The sequence below is a fragment of the Homo sapiens genome, chromosome 8 (assembly GCF_000001405.40).
Source record: "Homo sapiens chromosome 8, GRCh38.p14 Primary Assembly".
NCBI classification, from domain to species: domain Eukaryota; kingdom Metazoa; phylum Chordata; class Mammalia; order Primates; family Hominidae; genus Homo; species Homo sapiens.
Window position 1 is genome coordinate 2,716,909 of NC_000008.11, and position 22,807 is coordinate 2,739,715.

Below are 22,807 nucleotides of genomic sequence, written 5' to 3' on the forward strand. Positions count from 1 at the left end.
ACTTCGGCTGAGTCTGTTAACCAATAAAGTGGACCGCGGACCACTTGATTTCCTTATTTCTAAGTCCCTGAAAATATTTGGTCCATTTTTTCCCGACTGCTCCTTGTGTGTGTGTTCCTAACGTATAACCCAGCCCCGAAAACTGACACACACATGATATCAGGGGTGAAGGAAAGCCTCTTCGTAAACATCCAAACACCACCAGCAACTCCGCCTCAGGAAATTCCCCCGGGCTTCTCTTGCCACCATTTTGAATTTTATAATGCCAATCATTAGTTTACTTTGCTTGCTAATGTAACAGGCTTTGCATCCTGGATCACCCTCTTTCTTTTTATAATTTGGATAAAGATTCACAGATACAGCTGCTTTGTGAGGGATATAGGGCATTGAGTTGGGTAACTGCCAAGAAACACACCATGGTAATAACTGCCAAACGCTTTCCACTCCTGCATTGGAACCTGGGCCATTAAGATCCTGGATGCAAGCTCTCTCCTCCCCTCCTGTACCCACTTTACCTGAATTGGACATCAGGTAAATACCTTATCTCTTAAAAGACAAATTATAGTGTCTGACCTTTCACCTTTTATGGAAGAATAGCAATAATCACCCTGACTTTAAAAACAATTTGATAAATGAAAAGATTGGATCATAATTTAAAACATTATTGTCAAGCCGTTAATGGAAAAGAACAAAAATTTAAAGTTTTGACAGCAACAACAACAAAAATGGAAACAAGGAAGACGTTCTCTAGAAACTGTCAATCAATTACTTAGTTGATAGATCATTGAGCCCCTGTTATAAACCAGCTATGGTGATAGGCTCACAGTAGAGAGATGAAGAAAATAAGCAGCTTGCCCTTGAGAAACTCAGTCTCCTCGTGTAGGAGAAAGGGACTCTCCAAACACAGAAAAATCACAGTTGATAATATTCAAACTGAGAAAGGAAAAACCACCCTGAAACTTTACATCACCAATTTAATCTTTTAAAAATACCCATGAAAAAATCTTAATTTTGAAAAGTACTTTCAGAAGTCATAGTTTTAATAAACACGGATGTTTATTATAGTTTTAATTTACAGTTTATTATAGTTTTAATAAACATAGATGTTTATTAAAGCTAGCTCTTATCATTATGAGACTAGACACTAAAAACGCAGCATTGAAAGGAAGCATCTTCAGTGTGTGTGTGTGTGTCTGTGTGTGCATATACACAAATATATACACTATACACTATCCTGTAATTATATTACTTCATACTTAATTACATTAGGTCATTCCATCATAGCAAGATTTTCTTTGTGAGTAAAACAGAGTTGGGCTTTTTCTTTAAATTGAGTTGAACTTTTTGTTTGTCTAAGTCTCCAAGAAACTAAATTTAAGTTGCTGTGGGTATTGAAGTCAGGACACCATAGCTTTCAGTAAATCATAATATTAAAAAAATTGATTGCACAAGAGATTGATTTTGTGGGCAACAGCCATTTTTCTCTAAGACAAGTTATTCTGAGTGCCAATACGTTTTACCATACACAAATATATGGTAGTTTTAAACTCTGAACCAAAATGGATTTTTATCAACCCTTTCAATATGATTCTGTCACAAATAATTTTTTTTGGACAACAGCAGAGTACAAAACCCTTTAAATAGATATGTTGAGAGCAAAAATAATCTATTTTAATTGCAAGCATGTAAAAGTCTACCGTATTTACGCTAACCAGTAACTGTAGTGATAAAGGCTTTTTATAACTTTTTAAATTAATAAAAAGGTAAAAAATGTAATTCCTTAGAAATACATGAGATAAAACACATTTTGAAAAAGCTCTAAAATAAATGATCTATTTATCTAGCAGATTACTTTTACCAAGTTGTTTCTTTATGTTTTCTCAGAGGTTCACTTTTCTGCAGAAATATTAACTCTGTTAATACGCATTCCCATCCCCTCATTTCAGTATGATTCTAAATCAATAGAATTCTGTAGCTATGCCATGCATGTGACCATAAGTAAAGAGAATGCATATATTTGAAAAACACTGATTTCAGGAAGAACTAGTGTACTTATAGGAGAATGTACTATAAAATTTGGAGGAAAGAGAGTTCTGGTTTGGATCATGGGCTCCAGAGACTACTGTGGATTCAAAGTATAATTCTGAATATCTGTGTGATCTGGACCAAGTTAAGTCAACCTTTCATGCCTCAGTTTCTTAATTTGTAAAATAGGAAAAATAGTAGTATTACTAATTGATAGTTTTTGAAATTTTAGTAGACTATGAAATAACACATGCTTTTATATAATAAACATATAAAAATTTTATATATTGATTATATAAAAAAGTCTGATACATGCACAAAGCTGTTCACCGATAGTTTATTTCGATAATGGGAAAAGGGAAATATAAATAACTACCCAACATAACAGGTTAGTTATAGACATATTGTGGAATACACTGCAACCATTTAAAGTAATGCTGTACTCTATTTCTTCACTTTATGTAGAAATATGTTCAGGATATATTTTTGAGTGACTACAAAGCAGATTGCAAATAGGATGCATAGAATAAGCTCACCAATAGAAAATAATATGTATGTGAGCAAATATGCAAATATTTTTGCATTTATCTATGCAAAGACATCCAGCTTATTCCAGTTCTGTATTCTGCGGCTAGATCTGAGCAGAAGCCACACTTGGTTTTCTGGGCATACACACTGAGAAGTGCTGAGTAAACATGGGAAACACAGAGTGTGTTTGGCTCCCTGCGTTGCCTGGCAATCCTCATTATTTTTGCCTCATCGATTCCTCATATTAATTCACACTTTTTAAAATGAGGATATTTGACTCCTCCTTTTTACTCTCAGAAGTTGAATTTGCTTCTGAGTTGACTCAGACAAGAGAACGCTCTTAAGTTCTCATCATCACACTTACAATCCACCCACATTGTCTTCTCTCTTCTCACAATAAACTGTTAGTAATCCCTCTTTGGGAATTTTTTTTCCACAAGATCTCATGCTCTCTCTGTCACCTGCTTCAGATTGTTCTAGAAGTCTTTCATTTTTATGGTATGTTTAGTTTTCCTCTCTGTGGGAACCCTTTCCTTACACAAGAGGGAATGTGCACCAATGGATTCATCCGTCTCCAGAAATCTCCGTTCTGCAAAAATCCTCGGGAGTTATCTATCTCTGTCTCCACATCCTCACTTTTCACTTTCTTCAAAACTTTTCCAATCACACTTTCATCCCCATCACAGCAATCACACATTTTAGCCAGTGGTGAGCGTGAATAATCTCCATGGTTCATGCCATCCAATTGCAAACAGTCAGTTGGTCTTTCTCCCACCAAAACTTGCGTCAACATTATAACAGCATTGACCACTTCTGAGGCTTCCCCCTTCCTAAAACTCCCTCCCGCCTTGGCTCTTAGGAGCACGCACACACCTGGTTTTCTTCTCTCACCGGCTATTTCTTCTTGTGCATTTTCATGGCTTTGACACCTTTTTCCAATTTCTAGATGGTGACGTGTCCCAGAGAGCATTCCTCAGAGCTCTTCCATCTCTACTCATTTCCTAGGAGATCAATTCCAGGCTCAGAGTCTCTCTCCTGGCTGCAAGGTCCTAGACTGTAGCGGATGACATTCTCCAGTTGTGTGACATTTCTCCCCGTCAGAATATAGAGAGCTCGGAGTAATGCAGGTGAGACCCCTGGACCCTAACTTTCTGACAGCAATGCCTACTGGGGCAAATGGAGTTAAACACACCTCTGCTCTTCCCTCCCTCTGTGTCTGTGAGGACTGCTTCGGTCTGGCTCAACAGGGCTGCAGACAGGCAATAGACACGTGTGCCACATCCCCAAACAAACACTTTTTAAAAATAAACTCCTAGAAAGCCCATGCATGGTGTGCAGTTTTATTTCAGACAATAACATTTGCTACAATAAAAACCTTCTTATAAGCAAATATAACTTCTCTCTCCCTGTTTTTATGTCAAATCTTTAATCATTGTGAGTCAAACTGAATTATTCATAATTCTTAAAACAGCATAATGTTTTGGCATGTTTGTGATAATTTAAAGCAGCAATTTAGACGTTAAGGAAACACTTCTCTTTATTCTTCATTTCAGCAATAACTGAGCCATTAATCTCAGTTTGAGTTTATGTGACTGTTTAGTAGTCAGGCTTTCCCATCCATTTACACATTTAATTCAACATGTATTCTGTAACTTTTATTTTTTACTTTTTTTGGCTGGAAATATAGCCCTCGGGCAAAATAAAGAAAGTAATTCCTTTTTGTCAAAACATTGCAAGACTAGCTCAGGGGTTATCCAGTAGATTTCATTAGGACTGTGTGTCTCTAATTCTGCCATTATTATGCTTATCCTGAGAGACCTTAGGAGATGAAGCTCAGCCCTAATGGACTCACTATTATACTTGTAATTTTAACAGAAGGTCTTGGATATGAGTATTGTAAATTAGATATATTATACGACAAAAAGCAAAAGTGAAATGCTCCCTTTTGATATATTGGTATTTAAATAACGAATTTTATTAAAGCACAAAGGGAAGATGACCATGCACATGTGATCATTAGGAACATACCTCTGAACTCAGCATGATGAAAATCCCAGCTTTAATGAGAAAACAGCCTTTAAAAAATCTCTTCAGACAGGAGCTCAAACTGTGGTCATGTATTTAGATTTCTCTGTGGGGATAAACCTGTACATTAGAGAGGCCTCTGATTTCACCCTCTTTACACTTATCATATTTGAAAGGGTTGAATTTGTTACTATAGAGGTTTAGACAAACTTTATAAAGACGTTTTCATAGAGTGGCTTCCCATATATGTATATTGTGGCTAAAAATTACCTGGTCCCTGTACAGAAGTAATTCAGAGCACAAATGAATGAATTATGCTGCTTTTATATGAAGAAGGCTGACAAAGATGAAAAGTAATATATTATTACCATCAGTATTGATATTAAATAAAAATCTATCGTGGTAGAAAGTTGATTAAATTAGTCTCCTTCTATGTGAGAATCGGCAGTGGTTCATCTTGATTGGAATTGGCACACATTCTGAATGTGTGATCTTTATGGCTTCAGGCACTCGGCCATCACTGCCCTCTGAGGATTTGATCCATCATAGGAGATCTCACAGAGCAGCCCCTCAGAACGAGGACCCACTTTACAGCAAAGTAAATGGGAAATGGGTCTCGTGCTCCGGGATACAATGTTCTTATCACAGACTCCAGCAGCACAAAAACAGGTGCCTATTACAGCATTGAGATGACCTTTGCACAGGTGATGAGCTGGCAAGAGACCAGACTTTACAAAAATGAGATATTATTCTCCAGGTTGAAGTAGACACTTCGGCAGGGTGGATGCTAAGTCTCTAAGAGGAAGACATCGAGAAGCAGGAGTGGCCTCTCCTGTTTTTACTGCCGGTGACCTACTCGACAAAGCTGTGATTCTTTTTCTTGAAACCCTGGGCTTGCAGTTTGGAGGTCCTTATTCTCAAAGGGAAAGACTTTATTCAAGGATAGAGAAGCTGAAATTTTACTCTATAACCTTGTGCTAAGGACCAGCAGGCAAGAATAAAAGACATTATTCTTGCAGAGGTAATAAGCACCCCAAATCATCAGGAGGAGTTAGGGCTATTGTCACATAGGGGCATGCAGGTCATGCATATGGATGCTCCTCGGGACTTAGTTTCCAAAACACCATGGCAAGTGGATGAGTGCAGCAGCCAAGGTCTGAGAAGCGGTGATGGCTAGCAGCTCTGTTCTTTAAACCTAACCCTGGGACTGCTGAGGGCTCTTTCTTGCTCTGAGCCCCAGTCAATGCTGGCAGCCTTTGGCAGCTGTATGGATTGAAGAAAAGTGTTCAAGCATGGACCAGAGTGCTTCCGGAACACGGACAGACATAAGAGGCACTGTATTAGTCAAGGTTCTCCAGAGAAACTGAACCAATGGGAGAGAGAAAGAGATGAATGAATACAAAACTATATATATATATAGTCATGCAAATTTTTTTAACCAAGATGGATTTTTATTTAATATCAATGTTGATGGTAATAATATATTACTTTTTATCTTTGTCATTCTTGTTCATATAAAAGCATCATAGTTCATTCATCTGTGCTCTGAATTATTTCTGGATAGGGACCAGCTAATTTTTAACCACAATATACATATTTGGTAAGCCACTCTATGAAAAAGTCATTATAAAGTTTGTCTAAAACTCATATATATATATATATGTGTATATATATGTATATATATGTATATATGTATATATGTGTATATATGTATATATATGTATATATGTATATATATTTGCATATATTTACATAGACATATAGAGAGACAGAGAGAGAGAGGAGAGATTGATATTTATTATATTTTGAGAAAATGGCTCAGTTTACTGGGCAGGCCAGTGGGCTGGCTATTTATTTAGGTGACAGTTGAGGTGACAGTCTTTAGTATGAAGGCTGGAATCTTAGGCAGAATTTCTATAGTACAGTCTGAAGGCAGAATTTCCTCTAATTTTGGGGAACCTCATTATTTGCTTTGAAGACTTTCAACTGTTTGGATGAGACCCACCCATATTACAGAAATCTGCATTACATTCTGCAGGGAATTTCTTTATGGGGAAGAGCATTCCGTTATGAAACTATAAACATTTAAGTATCATTTTTCCCAAGAACTAGCAGATATGTCCTCTAACAAGTAAATAAACATGAATGCAAAATATGTTGCTACTGGAAAAACTATGGGAGCAGAAGAAAATGGAAGATTGTATTCCAAAGAGATGCCTTCATACTACAATTTTTTATAAAACACATATGTTTGTAAAACCTGGGAAAGCTTTACTTACTACTTTTCTGGGAAGAGGTCTTGTACATTTTCACATAAACCCTCACAACTTATCTCATGTCGGCTCTTATCCCAATGAGCCAATTTAATGGTGATTCACATGAGTGTCATCTTTGCTTTCGAACAAGAAGTTTGGCTTTATTTTTTTCTGACAGTTTCAGGAACAAGTCATTTTGTGAATCAAAGTTACAACTCATCAGTATTCAGCAGAAAAAATGTATATAAAGGCATACAAAATAATATTTCTGTTGCACAAAGGTTAAGATGTAAATTACGTGGCCGGGCGCGGTGGCTCCCGCGTGTAATCCCAGCACTTTGGGAGGCCGAGGCGGGCGGATCACGAGGTCAGGAGATCGAGACCGTCCTGGCTAACATGGTGAAACCCCGTCTCTACTAAAAATACAAAAAATTAGCTGGGCAAGGTAGCGGGCGCCTGTAGTCCCAGCTACTCGGGAGGCTGAGGCAGGAGAATGGTGTGAACCCCGGGGGACGGAGCCTGCAGTGAGCCGAGATCGCGCCACTGCACTCCAGCCTGGGCGACATTGAGACTCCGTCTCAAAAAAAAAAAAACGATGTAAATTATCAAGAATCCTTCAGTATTAAAATATGCCCACATACACTGTGAAACCTAAGGTTTTGCTGGATAACTCCTGTCATCTTGTATAACACACCGCCAGTTGTTTCATTAGACACAAATGAAGAACAACTGGACATTTATTATTCAACCGAGATCTTTGATGAGATTTGCTTCTTTACATACAGAAAAAATATATTACGTACATGTTAGATTTATGCCTCAGTGCTGCTTTCTTTCAAGTGTACCAGAGCCCAATGAAAATCATTAGACATATTATAAATTTACCCTGAAATATAGAGTGAAAAGCAGGCACCATTGCAGAGAGGGAGTTGATGCAATATTTTTCTTAATCTAGGATTTTCTAGTTTTTCCTGAAAATAGCTCCCAAAGGGAAATATACATGTCAAAACAAAGCAGATGGAAATAAAAGAATCCACACTGAGAGAGATTTAATTGCAAGGGGATTCAACACTGCTCCCAGACATGTTTACCAAAAGAGTATTAATGATTGGGTAAGAAACACAGGTAAGAAATATTTAATGTTGCTCATGGAACAATAAAAGATACACAGACCTGCCTTAGTTCAGGTGAGCAAACTAACAAGTGGGCACATTTTTATTTATGCACATAAATCTTTATGTATTTGCCATGTAAAGTTTACAAGATCCTGGAAAGAATGTGGCACAGGAGTTGAGGGAATGTAAGGCCAGAGGGATGTTACATTTGCAAGGGGACTCAGACATCCTGCAGGCCACGTTCCTGCTGGAGGTCCACATTTCATTAATGGATCTTGCCAGGTGCCTGAATCTAAGCTTCATTACTGACATGCAGAACATTTTGGTTTAGAATTGTATTTCCTAGACCTAAGACTTGAGATATAACTTTTAATTAATAGAAAAACATACTCCTTCTGCTACATGACAAATCTCCAAAGGTTTGAAACTGACTCTCAAATGTTCCCTACTCCTTTGGCAGTGCCTTCTGGAAGCTCAATATCTCTAAATCCTAAACCTTTCTTCACAGGACATGACGCGGCACAACCTGTGATGTTCCATCTGAATTCCCCTTTTCTGAAGGACTTGGTGCCCTTCTCTGGAGTACCTGCAGCAGATATCTCTTAGCTGTCAAATCCTGCAGATATTGCCTGAACTGTCAAGAGCTGTCTTCTGAAAGCAGTTTACACCTGCTGTTGATCAATATGAAAATATAAAGGTCTGGCTATTATGGCAAACATAAAACAATTCTAAAAGGCCATTATAATATTCTAAATTTCCTTGGGTTGTTATTTTTTCTGGGTAGCAGCTCAACTTTTTCTGCTACTTCCAGCGAACCTGAGCAAGGTAGTTACAGGGTGATTTATAAAATATGGTGTCCTTAGAAACAAGTAGTTATAACAAGTAGTTATGGGATGACTTATAAAATATGGTGTCCTTAGAAACAAGAGATGAGTCAGTAGCATGAATCATATTAAATTTGGTATATAAAGACTATGAAGGAGGGATAATTTTGTCTGTCACCCCAGACAAAAATCAGATCAGCCAAGATAGTGTACTATAAAATAATTGAAATAAAACTTTTCAAGACACTGATACCAGGCAATATAAGTCGCCTTATGTTGCCACACAAATCAGGTGGGCTGTATGATTTTCCCAGGTAACTGTCTTGAGTGAGTCTCCAACCTGTGACAAAGGGAAGCAGAACCAGGCAAGGCTGAGGGTTTGCAGGAAACAGTGCAGCTAAAATTAACAGGACAGAGTAATGGAGGGCTTCATGGAGAGAAAAAATCTGGAGTTCTGCATAGCGATCCTTTGGCATCTTTAGCAGAATATTGAGCAGAACATTTGTGTAAAGAAAATTCCAAAAGCCCAAAAAAAAAAAATCATCTGAAATATATGGGCACAATATATGATACTTATATAGGGCTGCAAATGGTGTCTGTTCCCTTCAGCCAAATTTGAAAACAATTTAAGGAGCATTAGGTAGAATATAAAAAATAGTCTTAGCTCAGTACTGGAAAATAATTATCCCTAGACTCTTTTTTCTCTGATCACACCTTAAAAATGTTAAAAGAAATACCCAGGGGATCAAACTTATTACAATCTTTAAGTGAATCTTACAATAAAGCTCAACATTTTAATAGAAATACCAAAATATGCACCAAACAACAAAGTAAAAATCACAATGATTGGCATGCAATCAAAGATTACTAGGCAGGAAAAGAAGCAGGAAATACAATCCAGAAAGAGAAGAAAAATTGACCCATCAAAACTAATCCAAAATTCGCAATGATGTGCTTTACAACAAAAAGGAAATTAAAATATTTATTATGATTTTTCCTCATTTATTTAAAAAGACGGACATAAAAATTATACAACAAAAAACCCAAGTCACATTTCAGGAGGTAAAAACTAAAAAGTCTGATATGAAAATATGGTGGTTAGCATTTGTGAAACATTAGATATTGAAGAGGAATATATTATTGAATGGGAATATACAGCAAAAGAAACTATGCCAAATAAAATGCAGATCAGAGAATTTTTAAAATAAAAAGAGCATTAGCGGGCAATAGAAAATCTTCAAGTGGCCGACAGATGTGTATTTCTGTCCATTAAAAAGAGGAAGGAGAGATCATGGCGGACGGGAGGCAAGACTAGCCTGCAGCTCTGGACAGAGCAGCGAGTGGGAGCTCGCATTGTAAACTTTAGCTCCAGATGGACGGCAAAAACAAACCAGCAATCCCCAGAGGACCCACAGACCCTCTGAAGGAAGTGGGCTGCTCCTGCAGGACCCGGGAGACCCCCAAAACTGTGAGTGTCCAGCTGCCGAAGTGGGAAAGGGAAACCCTCCTCTCCGGAACAGACACCCCCTGAGAAGTCTATTTGTGGGAGAAGTTTCCGACTTTACCTGGAGCTGAGTCAGTCTGGAGAGCTGACTGAAATACAGGGATAGAGGAGGCAGCAGCAAGGCCCTGGGAGCTGAATGGGTCCCCGGGCAGCCCATTCCTGCCTGGCACCACAGGGATCCAACGGGAGAGGAACAGAGGGTAAAACTACACGGAGAGAAGGAAATCTCTAGCTGAACTTTGTAACAATTCGAACAGCGTGAGAAGTCTCCTGGCCAGAACTCGGGGGAGGACACAAATCTCCTGCACAGTGAGTAAAATTTATATATGTATATTCAAAATAACTTCAGTATTCGAAATTGCTTCGGGGAATTTTGAAAACTCAGACTCTTTCCATACTGTTGTAGTGATCATATAGATAAGTAGGTCACCAGCATCATGAATAAAAATGCACGTTGTTGAGGTGGTTCTGAGAGGTGACAGCGTGCTGGCAGGCCTGGCAGGCCTGGCTCGCTCTCCGCGCCTCCTCGGCCTTGGCGCCCATTCTGGCCGCGCTTGAGCATCCCTTCAGCCCGTCGCTGCACTGTGGGAGCCCCTTTCTGGGCTGGTCAAGGCCGGAGCCGGCTCCCTCGGCTTGCGGGGAGGTATGGAGGGAGAGGCGCGGGCGGGAACCGGGGTTGCGCGCGCCGTTTCCCAGCCAGCGCGAGTTCCCGGTGGGCGTGGGCTCGGTGGGCGCCCCACTCGGAGCGGCAGGCCGGCCCGCAAGCCCCGGGCAGTGAAGGGCTTGGCACCTGGGCCAGCAGCTGCTGTGCTCGATTTCTCGCCGGGCCTGAGCTGCCTCCCCTCAGGGCAGGGCTCCGACCTGCAGCCCGCCACGCCTGAGCCTCCCCCGCCCCCTCCCGGCTGTGGGCTCCTGCGCAGCCCGAGCCTCCCCCACGAGCGCGGCTGCCTGCTCCTCGGCGCCCAGTCCCGCCGACCGCCCAAGGACTGAGGAGTGCGCGCGCACGACGCGGGACTGGCCGGCAGTGGCAACCCGCTTGGGTCACCTTCCACACTGTGGAAGCTTTGTTCTTTCACTCTTTGCAATAAATGTTGCTGCTGCTCACTCTTTGGGTCCACACGGCCTTTACGAGCTGTAACACTCACCGCAAACGTCTGCAGCTTCACTCCCGAGCCAGCGAGACCACGAACCCACCAGAAGGAAGAAACTCCGAACACATCCGAACATCAGAAGGAACAGACTCTGGACGCGCGGCCGTTAAGAACTGTAACACTCACCGGACCCGCCCCCTTTAAGAACTGTAACACACCGCGAGGGTCTGGGGCTTCATTCTTGAAGTCAGTGAGACCAAGAGCCCACCAATTCCGGACACAGTTTCTGCCAAGCCCAGATCAAACTCCCTCTTGGACTTCCTGTTAGCACCTTAAAGTGTATTTGCCATTTTGTAAGCTCCATCAGATCTTATTTTGAGCTATTTAACAGCCTTTGCACCTTATGCAACGTTGTAAGCAAACAGTGAAAGAAATATGTCACTTTGGAAAATGCATCTGAGGAGATTTCAAAAGATGCATGAAAAACGTAATGTAAAGATAAAAGTATTTAAAAATAAACTGTATTTATCAACGTAAACTCCATCAAGCTCAAGACACTTTTGTATCTTGTGATACCACTATTTAGTCTATTCGTAAAGAAATGAGGGTCCTGAGAATTTAACCAAATCAATGCAGTCTTTTTTACATGATCATCTAAAGAAAAATGGGTGCCATTTAAATATTTTTTAAGAGTAGGAAACAAAAAGAGCCCAGAAGGAGCCACGTCAGTTCTCTAAGATGGATGCCTAATGATTTCCCTCTGAAACGTTCACCAAATTGCCCTTGTTTAATGAGAGGAATGAGCAGAATCACTACCTTGGTGGAGAAGGAATCTGTGGGGAAGCTTTCTGGCATGTTTGTCTGCAAGAGCTTTGGCTAACTTTTTTAAAACACTCTCATAATAAGCAGATGTTACCATTCTTTGGCCCTCCAGAAAATCAACAATCAAAATGCCTTGGGCATCCCCAAAAACTGTTGCCATGACCTCTGCTCTGGACCCACCCACTTTTGCTTTGGCTGGACCACTTCCACCTGTGGGTAGCCATTGCTTTGATTGTGCTTTATCTTCAGGATCTTACTGGTAAAGCCGTGCTTCGTATCCTGTTACAGTTCTTGAAAGCTGTGCTTCAGGATCTTGATTTCACTTCTTTTAAATTTCCATCGAAAGTTCTGCCCTCATCTGCAACGGATCTTGGCACAGTGGTTTTGGCACTCAAGCGAAGAGTTGAGCATACTTTAGTTTTTAAAAGAATTGTGAAAGCTGAGCCAGTTGAGATGTCTATGATGTTGGCTATTGTTTGTGCTGTTAATCATCTGTCCCATTCATTAGTGTACAAACAAAACTAAGATTTTTCTCACAAGTGAATAAGGTTTTCTTCACAAGACTGAAGACTGCTGCTTCAGTCTTCACTTCAGCAACATTTCATGCCTCCTTATAACAAGTTATCCATTTGTAAATGGCTGGTTTATTTGGGGCATTGTTTCCATAAACTTGTTGTAAACCATCAATGATTTCACTATTTCTCTACCAAAGTTTTACTATAAACTTGATGTTAGTTTTTGCTTCAGTTTTACCAGAATTCATATTGCTCCGACAGGGGCTCTTTTTAAACTGATACCTTGCTTTTCTTAGTGCCTCAATCTAGATCTTTTTCACATATATCATAACAAGTTAGTTCAAGTTTATTTTGAAAAAGTGTAAAATTCATGCATAGGTTTTCGTAACATTCATTTTCCAACAGCTTTTTGAAGATCCCTTATATATGTTTTGGCTCAATTAAAAAAATAAATATTTCAAGTTGTGTGTCTCAAATTATGAAATAAATGCATAGAACACAGAATAATTTGTTCAACGAAGTCAGTATGATCATAGCAACAATGGAAAAATAATTTTGAAATAGAAAGGAGAAAACAGAAAAGTGAACAACTGCAAATATGTTGGAATGTAGTTCAGTTTTAATTTAAAAGGTGGATAAAGGCGTTCAAATGAGGAGGCTTCTTATATGCAGAAAATTAGAAACAAAAGATGTTTAGGAGAGGGGAAAAGAGGAAGAATAATAAGAAGAAAAAGGAGGATAAAGAGAAAGAATGGGGAGAGGAGGAGAAGAAAAAGCCAGGAAGGAGGGAAGAGAGAGAGGGGCAGAGAGAGACAGTGAGAGAGAAGAATACAGATAATTTCTGAAGAGCACAAACAATGCTTGACAGCAGTTGTTTCTATGGAGTAAAGTTGGGAATTAATGAGAGGAAGAGTTGTATTCTTCTGTTCTACTTTTTTTTTTTTTTTTTTTTTTTTTTTTTTTTTTGCTGTTTCATAATTTTAGAAACCCAGCTTCAAATGATAGAAATTTCCTCAGAAATTTGACTAAGAGGTCAGGTGCAGTGGCTCATGCCTGTAATCCCAGCACTTTGGGAAGCCAAGGCAGGCAGATCACTTGAGGCCAGGAGTTCAAGACCAGCTTGGCCAACATGGTAAAACCCTGTCTGTACTAAAAATACAAAAAGAAAAAAAAATTAGATGGGCACAGTGGCATGAGCCTGTAATTCCAGCTCCTCGGGAGGCTGAGACAGGAGAATCGCTTGAACCCAGAAGGCGGGTGTTGCAGTGAGCTGAGTCTCACTCTGTCACCCAGGCTAGATTGCAGTGGCACGATCTGGGCTCACTGCAACCTCTGCATCCTGGGTTCAAGCGATTCTCCTGCCTCAGCCTCCTGAGTAGCTGGGATTACAGGCACACGCCACCATGCCCGGCTAATTTGTTTATTTTTAGTAGAGACGGGGTTTCACCATGTTGGCCAGGCTGGTCTTGAACTCCTGACCTTAAGTAATCCACACGCCTACGCCTCCAAAAATGCTGGGATTACAGGCATGAGCCACCACACCTGGCTATATGTGGGTATTTTCTATTTGTATTTATATTTAAGATCTATGGAATACTAAGTACAGGGGAAACAAATTAGGTAAGGAATTTTATTTCTTCACTGAGCCAGTAAAATGCTATCACCCTCCATGTGTCACACTATGATAGGTGCTGGAGAGAAAACAAAGGCTAATCTAAGGTTTCCTATGGTAAAGGGATTACACTCATGTTGGGAGGAGAATTATCTCAGTGTTTTTATATGTTTTCATTAGGGCCCTGTCTGATTCACTCAGCTGTTCAGCTCACATTTCTCAGTTTCCAAATACTTGGTTTCTGATGCTCAGTATCTGAAGAATTGCTTGAGGAAAACGCTATAAGTAAAGCAAAACCCATAAAATTGTGACTTATAAAAAGTAGATAAAGTGTACATTTTATACTGTATGTAATATATAAAGTAAATAAAAGCAAATCATACAAACCCAAAATAATTGCACAATCCACAAATTTTCATCAAACAATAAAGTCAGGGTATTTTCCCTCCTGTGATGTTTTTGGAGCCTGACATCCAAAAGTTGCTAAGTTGAAGATATCTGAAAACAATGCTTCCATGTGCTGTCAACATCCAAATTTTCTTCAGTGTGATCAAGGGTACACACATTTGCTACAAAGGAAATTTAACTAAGGAAGATAAACCAAAGTGAAACTTCTAAGAATAAAGTGTTTTTAAAAATTTATTATTCAACATCCATTGTGCCCTCTCATAGCACCTTTCTTCCCTTAAACTTCAAGAAGATTATAACTTTAAAGGAATATATCGAGAATCAATTGCCAATTTACAAGTATTCAATGACCCCGACTTCACATAATATTAAATTATTAATTCTGTGGAAATAATATTTGCTTTTCTTTGGACATAATTGGTTTGTGTTTTACACATGTAATGAAGCTGTTTCTGACTTTTCCCATCTTCCATTTTTTATTCATAAGATTTTTACGTCACAGTTTCATAACCTTTAACGTTTATTCATTCAATGAATATTTACTGCACAACTACATACACTAAGCCAGGCACATTAAATAATTATATCAGGTGACAGTAACCAGATCAGTAACATAATTATAGAGTGTAGTAAATTTAAAAATAGGCAGTAAGCACTCTGTGAAAGCAGACAGAAACTAAGGATATTCTGCTTATGGAAAAGTGGGTAGAAAATTCCTACCTGAGAATATGACACTTCAGCTGAGAACTAAAGGATGACAAAATATTAACCGCACAAAGAACTCAAGAGTAGGATGTTTTGAGACAAGAAAACAGCAACTCGAAAGGCAAAGAAGTATAAGCGACTTTGGCACATTGTAGGCATCAGGGAAATAGGACTGAATATCTAAATTAAGGAGAAGAGGCCAAATATAAAACTTGAAAGAATTCTCGATCAACAGTTCTGGGGTTCAAATATTTTCCATTTCCCTGCTGGTAGCCATGGATAATGCATTTAGCCATGGATAATTCATTTCAATTTCAGTTTCCTGACACATAACACAGGGTTGTCAAGAGCCTGTACCTTGCGCCGGTGCCATGAGAAATTCAGGAGGTGATGCTTGTCACGTGCCCGCCACAAGGCTGAGCATGAGATAAGGAATCAGACTCCGATGAGGTGAAGGAGTGCATAGGATGACCGTGGAAAGACAAGAAGTGACCCCATTGCACGGCACTGGGAGTTTAGTCAAATGGAGGAAGAGGTCCCTAAGCAAATTCAAGTGGAGGGATTTCACGGTTTAACTTTGGTTGCAAGATGACTCTATTGGCACTGTGGACCATGGTCTAGATGAGGAGATGTTGAATGCAATATTCTGAGATGTATGAATGACTGTAAGAAAGGGGAAACTGAAAGAAGCAAATCTTTAGGGAAGGCCTGACCTTGAAGGAGACTGTAGAAAAGAACAGTAGAAACGGAGGCAGAAGGTAATAAGTTGTCTCTGTACATATGGAAAATAACTTTTAATTTAGCGTTTCTAATAATATTATTTTTTTCATAACTGTCGTTTCCAGAGATGCAAAAAATTATCATGCTAATTTAAAAAAAAATTACAGATATCTGGGATAAATCACATGCTGAGAGAAAAAAATAGTCTTTTTTCTCTTTTTTCTTTATCAGGTATATATAAGATAAACCTTAGAAAACATAAAACAAGCCTCTCAAATAACAACCTTAATTGTTTAAAATGATCTCCTTGACGTTACCTATTTGCAAGTGACTTATTATTATTATTTGAGACAATGTCAACTGGCATATTCAAAGTAAGGCTTTAATTGATGAATTTAAAATGAAATAAGTTGTTGTTTTTTTTAACTATTACATAAATGTTACTGGGAACTGCAGGAGTCTTTGGTTATTAGTCTTACTTGGAGAAAGCTTTCTGCCAAGCGACTGATTTAGCCAAAAAAAGAGAATTGATTGAAGGAAAATAGGGAGCCCCAGCGCGCTCTGCAAGGGTGAGGCAGAGAGGGCTGCTGAGGGGCGTGAGCCCGCAGCCCCCCAGAGCGCTGCGTTTTCTGCGTCGGGTGTTGATGACGTGGAACTAACGCTTCCTTGAAGTTCCCGCCTCTGCCTTAAGTCTCCACCTTTGTTCTTTGTCTAGTTTTACAGTTATGGCCTTAAGTCCCCTCCTTTTTCCTGCCTATTCCCCACCCCAGGCTTGTGGGACCCGCCTTTACTGTCAGTCAGTGCGCATGCGTGGCCGGGTATCGGACAGGAACTGCACCAGCGTTATCTCCTAGGAAGTTCTTCTTTGCCGTTTTCCGCTTATCAGCGTGCATCTGGCGATATTTTGACAGGTTACCTGCAGAGTGAGTGATCACTGGGCCTCTCAAGGGACATTCCTTCCTGCCTAGGTATTTCCCTTCCTCCCTCTCATACCCAGCGTGCAGACTTCAGGTAGTCCCTGGGGTATGAAGTTTTCCAGACCTCCCTTTTCTCAGGGGTCGCCCTCTCCTGCTCATGTGTGGCTGTCTGCCTAATCTAACACTAATAATACAATACATATAAAAATATATGTTTACAAGACAGCTAGATTCTCAGTCAAAATGTACAAGTGAAGACTCCGGATGTTTGAATTTGTTCAAAGAAGTTAAGAGCCCCAGAATAAAATCAAGTAAATGTAATATTTTTTCATATTTTAGTTCACAAATTAAGTCAGAGATATGCAGGCTTATCTCCTATTTAAACACTGTACTGAGACATAGATCTCTATCCTCAGCCGGTGTGGGTAGGGCCACACTATGGTCTTTGTTTCTAGCATCATATAAATAGCCATCAAGGTAGCCAGGGTTTTCTGTGAAATGTCGGGTCTACAAAGATCACTTGAGACACAGCTCTGAGGGTGATTGTTCCATGACACATGGTGAACAGAAGAGAATGTCACAAAGTAGGTGAGGTAGGAGTGCTTGAAGAAGCTGGACAGGGCCATAAAGTTGTTCTGCTAGAAGCCAGCGTGGAAGATTGCTCTAAGAAGGTTGGGGTGATTAAGGGAGATCAGTGATAACCTTGGTAAGAGCAATTTCTATGAAATGGTAAGGATATTCAGTTTTTCGTTTGTTTTATTATTATTTTTTAAGATAGGGTCTCACCCTGTCACCCAGGCTGGACTGCAATGGCATGAGCTCAGCCCACTACAACCTCTGCTTCCTGGGTTCAAGCGATTCTTCTGCCTCAGCCTCCAGAGTAGCTGGGACTACAGGTGCGTGCCACTACACCTGGCTATTTTTTGTATTTTTAGTAGAGATGGGATTTCACCATGTTGGCCAGGCTGGACTTGAACTCCTGGCCTTGAGTGATCTGCCTTGGCCCCCCAAAGTGCTGGGATTACAGGTGTGAGCCACTACACCTTGCTGCCAGTTTTTAGTTTCTTAGTAATTGTGGGAAATTAATACATGAAGACACTGAATATTGACAATTTTAAAAAGTTTGGTTACTTCAAGGATGAGACAGAGTTGAATCTGTTTAACACCTGATTAAAAAGATCCAAAGAAAAGAATGGGGAAAAAGTAGAGATTACAGAAGAGAATAATGCATAACAAATTGTAGTCTGCAGTAAAACGCTCTGTAACCTATATTCACCTAGTACAACTATCACTACATTTCACATAGTCTGCAAGTCTTATAGATTCCTATAAGAAAGAATTAACAATTAAATGTTTCTGTCTTCCTTAAAATTTCATAGACATATCCTAAAGGTTAAGAGAGTCCAATTATTTTATGTATGCAATCTTGTAATACAGAAATATAAAAATTAATTACAAAATGACAATGTTAAAATAATTATTTTAAATTGTCAGTTTTCAATAGAGTAACTGAAAGAAAAAAAGAACATATTTTTAGGCTGTAATTAAAATTTTATGACATCTAGTTTCTGACCTTAACAACTAAGATATTGTAGAGTGTTTTTTAAAAAAAAAAAAACAGTCCAAAACCTCACAGGTATCCTCTAAATTTCGAAAGGAGATAGACTATTTCTTTACCAGAGAATATAATATTCAACAGAAATACTAGCACCAAGTCTGCAGCTGGCTGATAAGAAGGACAATGAGAGCAATACAGCTCAAAGTGGTTCCAGGGAATATGAACTACTTAAACCGAACACAATATAAAATCTCAAACTCTGTCAGCACATCATGAGAAAATTATTTTAGAATGCATATGCAGAGGAATTAGAGAATAAGGTTGATGTAATGTGGAAACTAACAAAATTCAGGAGTGTAGGACAAGGTTCAAGTATCTTAAAGTGATGCCTGTATTGTCCAAATATTGCCATTGTTGTTAAATAACTTGAAGCAGTGATGTGACTGTGAAATTGGAAGTGAAATCAAGTCAAGTAAATATATTCAGCAGGGCATTTTCATGGAGGAGTATGTCCTTGGGAAAAGTAAGATATTCAGGTTAAATAGAAGATGCTGTTATTGAAATCATTCTCATTTTAAGACGCAATTACTCAGCTACCATGTGTTATCTAGATTTATTCATGGCTTCCTGGGTAGAAGTTTAAACTAAATACTTGAGTAGAATGTAATCTTGAAATATTTATATGTTCAATGTGACTAACAGTTGAGAGCTGCTTCAACAAAGCCTTTCCTAGAAATTTAACCTTGGTAACTGTGCTGCTAAAATACAGACAGTTCTATAAAAAAATAGTTTTGTAAAGGAAAGTGTCTCATTATTATTTACTATCAGGAGAAAATCTTTCTTTTATTTGCCAACTCCTCATATTTGTGTTCAAATTTAGGGACCTATTTGAAATTATATTTTATTTTATATTAGAAATTGCTTGTTTCAGGAGCTAATTTGTGAACAGAGATATTCAGATTTTACTTATTAAATAATAGTATTATAAGTGGTAGAATAAGGACCCATAGAAAATTCTCTCCCCCATAAAATCATGAGAATACTGATAAAGCTTGAGAAAACCAACATTTTCATGCTGTATTCCATCACCTCCTCCATCTCCATGGTATCCTCAACAAACTCTCCAATGATGGTGAAAACTAGGAGCTACATTGCCTCAAAAAGAGTGAGAACAGAGTTGAAACTCTTTTGCCTGATAGTTCTCTGGAAAACCCACTGCAGGCCTTGTCAATTAGTTGACCTGACTCAGTGTCTCCAAGTATGAAGACCCTCTCTTTAAAGGAATTTGTGAAAACAATTAGTGGCAATTATTTAACATTACATCTGCCTGAGACAGAGAAAACAGTTGAGAGCAAAAATGCAACATAAATGAAAAACTTAAAAGGAAAAGCTGGAAAATGAAATTTTCATGGGAACTTAGAAAAGCTCTGACATATTTGGTAATGTAAACACATGTCTATGCAAAATGTTGTGTGCGTGGTCAGGAAAGACCTGAGAAGTCTCTCACCTCTGGCTGAACTTGAGGCTCAGCGCAAGAAGAAAGGAAAGGTGAAGGTAAGTTGTAAACTGTCCAACAAGGAGTTGAAGGCATGCCTCAACATTCATGCAGAACTCTGTGGCAAAGACTGGGACACTTAATGTTTTCAGGTATTTGAGGAAATCTACCCTATCATAAGCTGACTTTAAGCTACTCTAGCAGTCTTCAGTGGCTACATACAACAAAGAGTACAGGCTGCACAGAATTATTTCGGAAAATTCACTAAACAAACTTCAAGAACAGCAAACTTGAAGGAGAGGAAGTGAATCCTATCAACTAAATTTTCCTATCATATTATTTATGTCTCTTTTCAACAGAAAATTTTGAGACAATAAACAGAAAAAAATGTGTATATACAAGGAAAAAAGGAATATGTAGAAAGTGTCTACAAAAAAGCCCCTACTTTGGATTCATAAAGCACCAATTTTAAATCAGCTGTTTTTCATTTCTTTAAACAACTAAAGGAAATCATGTCTAAGAAAGTAAAAAAACATATGTCAAAAATATCTCATCAAAAAGAGAATATCAATAAAGAAACATAAATTTTATTTTTATAAAAAAGCCAAATATAAATTCTAGTGTTAAAAAGTATAATATGTGAAATGCAAATTTCACTATGAGAGCTTGACAGCAAACTTGAGCTCGCAGAAGACAAAAAAATCCATGAGTTTGGAGGTAGGTTTTTTGGTATTGATTATCCAGTCTGAGGAACAAAAAATAATACTAAAACGAGAAATGAGCAGAGCCTCAGGGGCCTATACAACAACATCCAACGTACCAACATATGCATAATAGATTCCCCAAAAGAAGAGAAGAGAGAGAAGAGGGGAAGAATAAATATCTTTTAAAAATGGCCAAAACCTTGAAAATAAAATACAAAATATTAATCTTACATGTAAGAAGCACAGTGAACTCCAAGTGGATAAATTTAAAGAGATCCACACCTAGATGCATCGTAAAATTGTCCAAAGACAAAAACAAAGAGTAGCGAAATCAACAAGTGAGACGCAACTCATCATGTATGAGAGAGAGTCAAAAGATAAACAGCTGATTTCTCACCAGAAGCAATAGGGGCCATAAGAAAATGGAATGGCATATTCAAAGAACTGAAAGAAAAACACTAGTCAACTAAGAATTCTATATCCTGCAGAACAGACCTTTAGAAATAAAAAAGAGATTAGAACACATTCAGTTAAACCAAAAAAAATAAAAGAGGATTTGCCTCTTGCACACTCTGTTGTATAAGAAATACCAAAGATAGTTCTTCAGACAGAAGTAGTAGAATGCCAAAAGGAACTCAAATCCACATGAAATGATGAGCAATGGTGAAAATAATTACATAGGTAAAAATAACAGAGATTTAAATGTATTTTGTTTTATGGTAACACTTTTTTCTCCTACCTGATTTAAAATACTACCACATAAAACAATAACAATAAAGCTGTGTTGATGGAATTCAGTGTACAAGAACATAATTAGTATAACAATAACATAAAGGAGGTTAGAGGGAATTGAGCCACGTAGGAGCTCAGGTTTTGTATACTAATAAAATTTAGTTGGCGGTAATTCAAACTGGATTATTATAAGTTAAATTGTTAGGTGTAATTCCAAGGCAAACAGTAATAAAATTACTCAAAAAAAAAATAGGAAAAACAAAGATAACAAGTTAGTACACTATTAAACATTCACTTAACACACAAGAAGGCTGTGAGGGGGGGACGAAAGAAGCAAAAACACATAAGACGTATAGAAAATGGCAGATGTAAATTCTGCCTTATCAATAATTATATTAAATGCAAATTGACCAGTCTTTAATCCAGTTTGAGTTGATTGTTGTGTAAGGAAGGGGTCCGGTTTCATTTTTTTTTTTGCATGTGAACATTAACGTTTCCCAACATCACTCATTGAAGAGACTATCCTTTCCCCATTGTGTATTCTTGACAATTTTGTCAAACTTACAAAACATACATGCATACAAAGGACATAAGGAAACTTTTGGAGGTAATGGCTATGCCTATTATTTTGATTGTGGTGAAGATATTACAAGTGTTTGCCTATGTCCAAAATTATCAAATTATGCATATTAAATATATGCCATTATTTGTATATCACTTATATTTAATAGAACTGTTAAAAATGTAAATAAACTAAAAACAACATCAAAAAGCAGAGATCAGCAGAATGGATAAAAACATAGTTCAACAATCTGCTAGCTACAAAAGATGCATTTTGGCTGGGCGTGGTGGCTCATGCCTGTAATCCCAGCACTTTGGGAGGCCAAGTTATGCAGTGTTATGAAGTTAATAAAAATATGTCTAAAGCTTCCTTTTTATACATGTTGTATATGTCGTGGAAGTTACCAATCAAACTGGTTTGCAAAGCATCTCACTTCAGCACTGCAAACATTTATTTTTCCAGGTTAATATTTGCAAGGCTTCAGAGCATACTTTCCTATGCATTCATTCTCTTTGCCTTCCCGACCTGAATTCCAATTTCCTCCAACACTGGGCACTCCTTTAGTCAAAAGGTGAGATTACTACTTCTCTCCCAGGACACCTTCACGTAAGCATCACACGGACTACCGGGATCCCCTGGACCAACCACCTATCAGATCTACCGTTAAAGGACATATGTCATCCTGCAACT

The 22,807-nt window shown here is 38.5% G+C and overlaps 2 long non-coding RNA genes across 7 annotated transcripts in view, besides 1 other annotated feature; one reads left to right on the forward strand and one right to left on the reverse strand.

The window, feature by feature from the left end:
- The window catches only part of LINC03021 (long intergenic non-protein coding RNA 3021), a 198,360-nt gene extending 186,817 nt beyond the window's left edge, over positions 1-11,543 (reverse strand). For both annotated transcript variants that reach the window (NR_125425.1, NR_125426.1), the window contains exon 1: positions 11,422-11,543. This is a non-coding gene — a long non-coding RNA (long intergenic non-protein coding RNA 3021). The remainder of the gene's footprint in view (positions 1-11,421) is intronic.
- The window catches only part of LOC105377785 (uncharacterized), a 297,276-nt gene continuing 284,516 nt past the window's right edge, over positions 10,048-22,807 (forward strand). For all 5 annotated transcript variants that reach the window (NR_168443.1, NR_168445.1, NR_168442.1 and 2 more), the window contains exon 1: positions 10,048-10,585. This is a non-coding gene — a long non-coding RNA (uncharacterized LOC105377785). The remainder of the gene's footprint in view (positions 10,586-22,807) is intronic.
- Positions 14,290-14,584: a silencer, noted in NCBI's record as "tiled region #12422; HepG2 Repressive non-DNase unmatched - State 24:Quies". NCBI's record gives its function as "represses a minimal TATA promoter and a strong SV40 promoter by Sharpr-MPRA in HepG2 cells {active_cell/tissue: HepG2}" and the evidence as "EXISTENCE:reporter gene assay evidence [ECO:0000049][PMID:27701403]".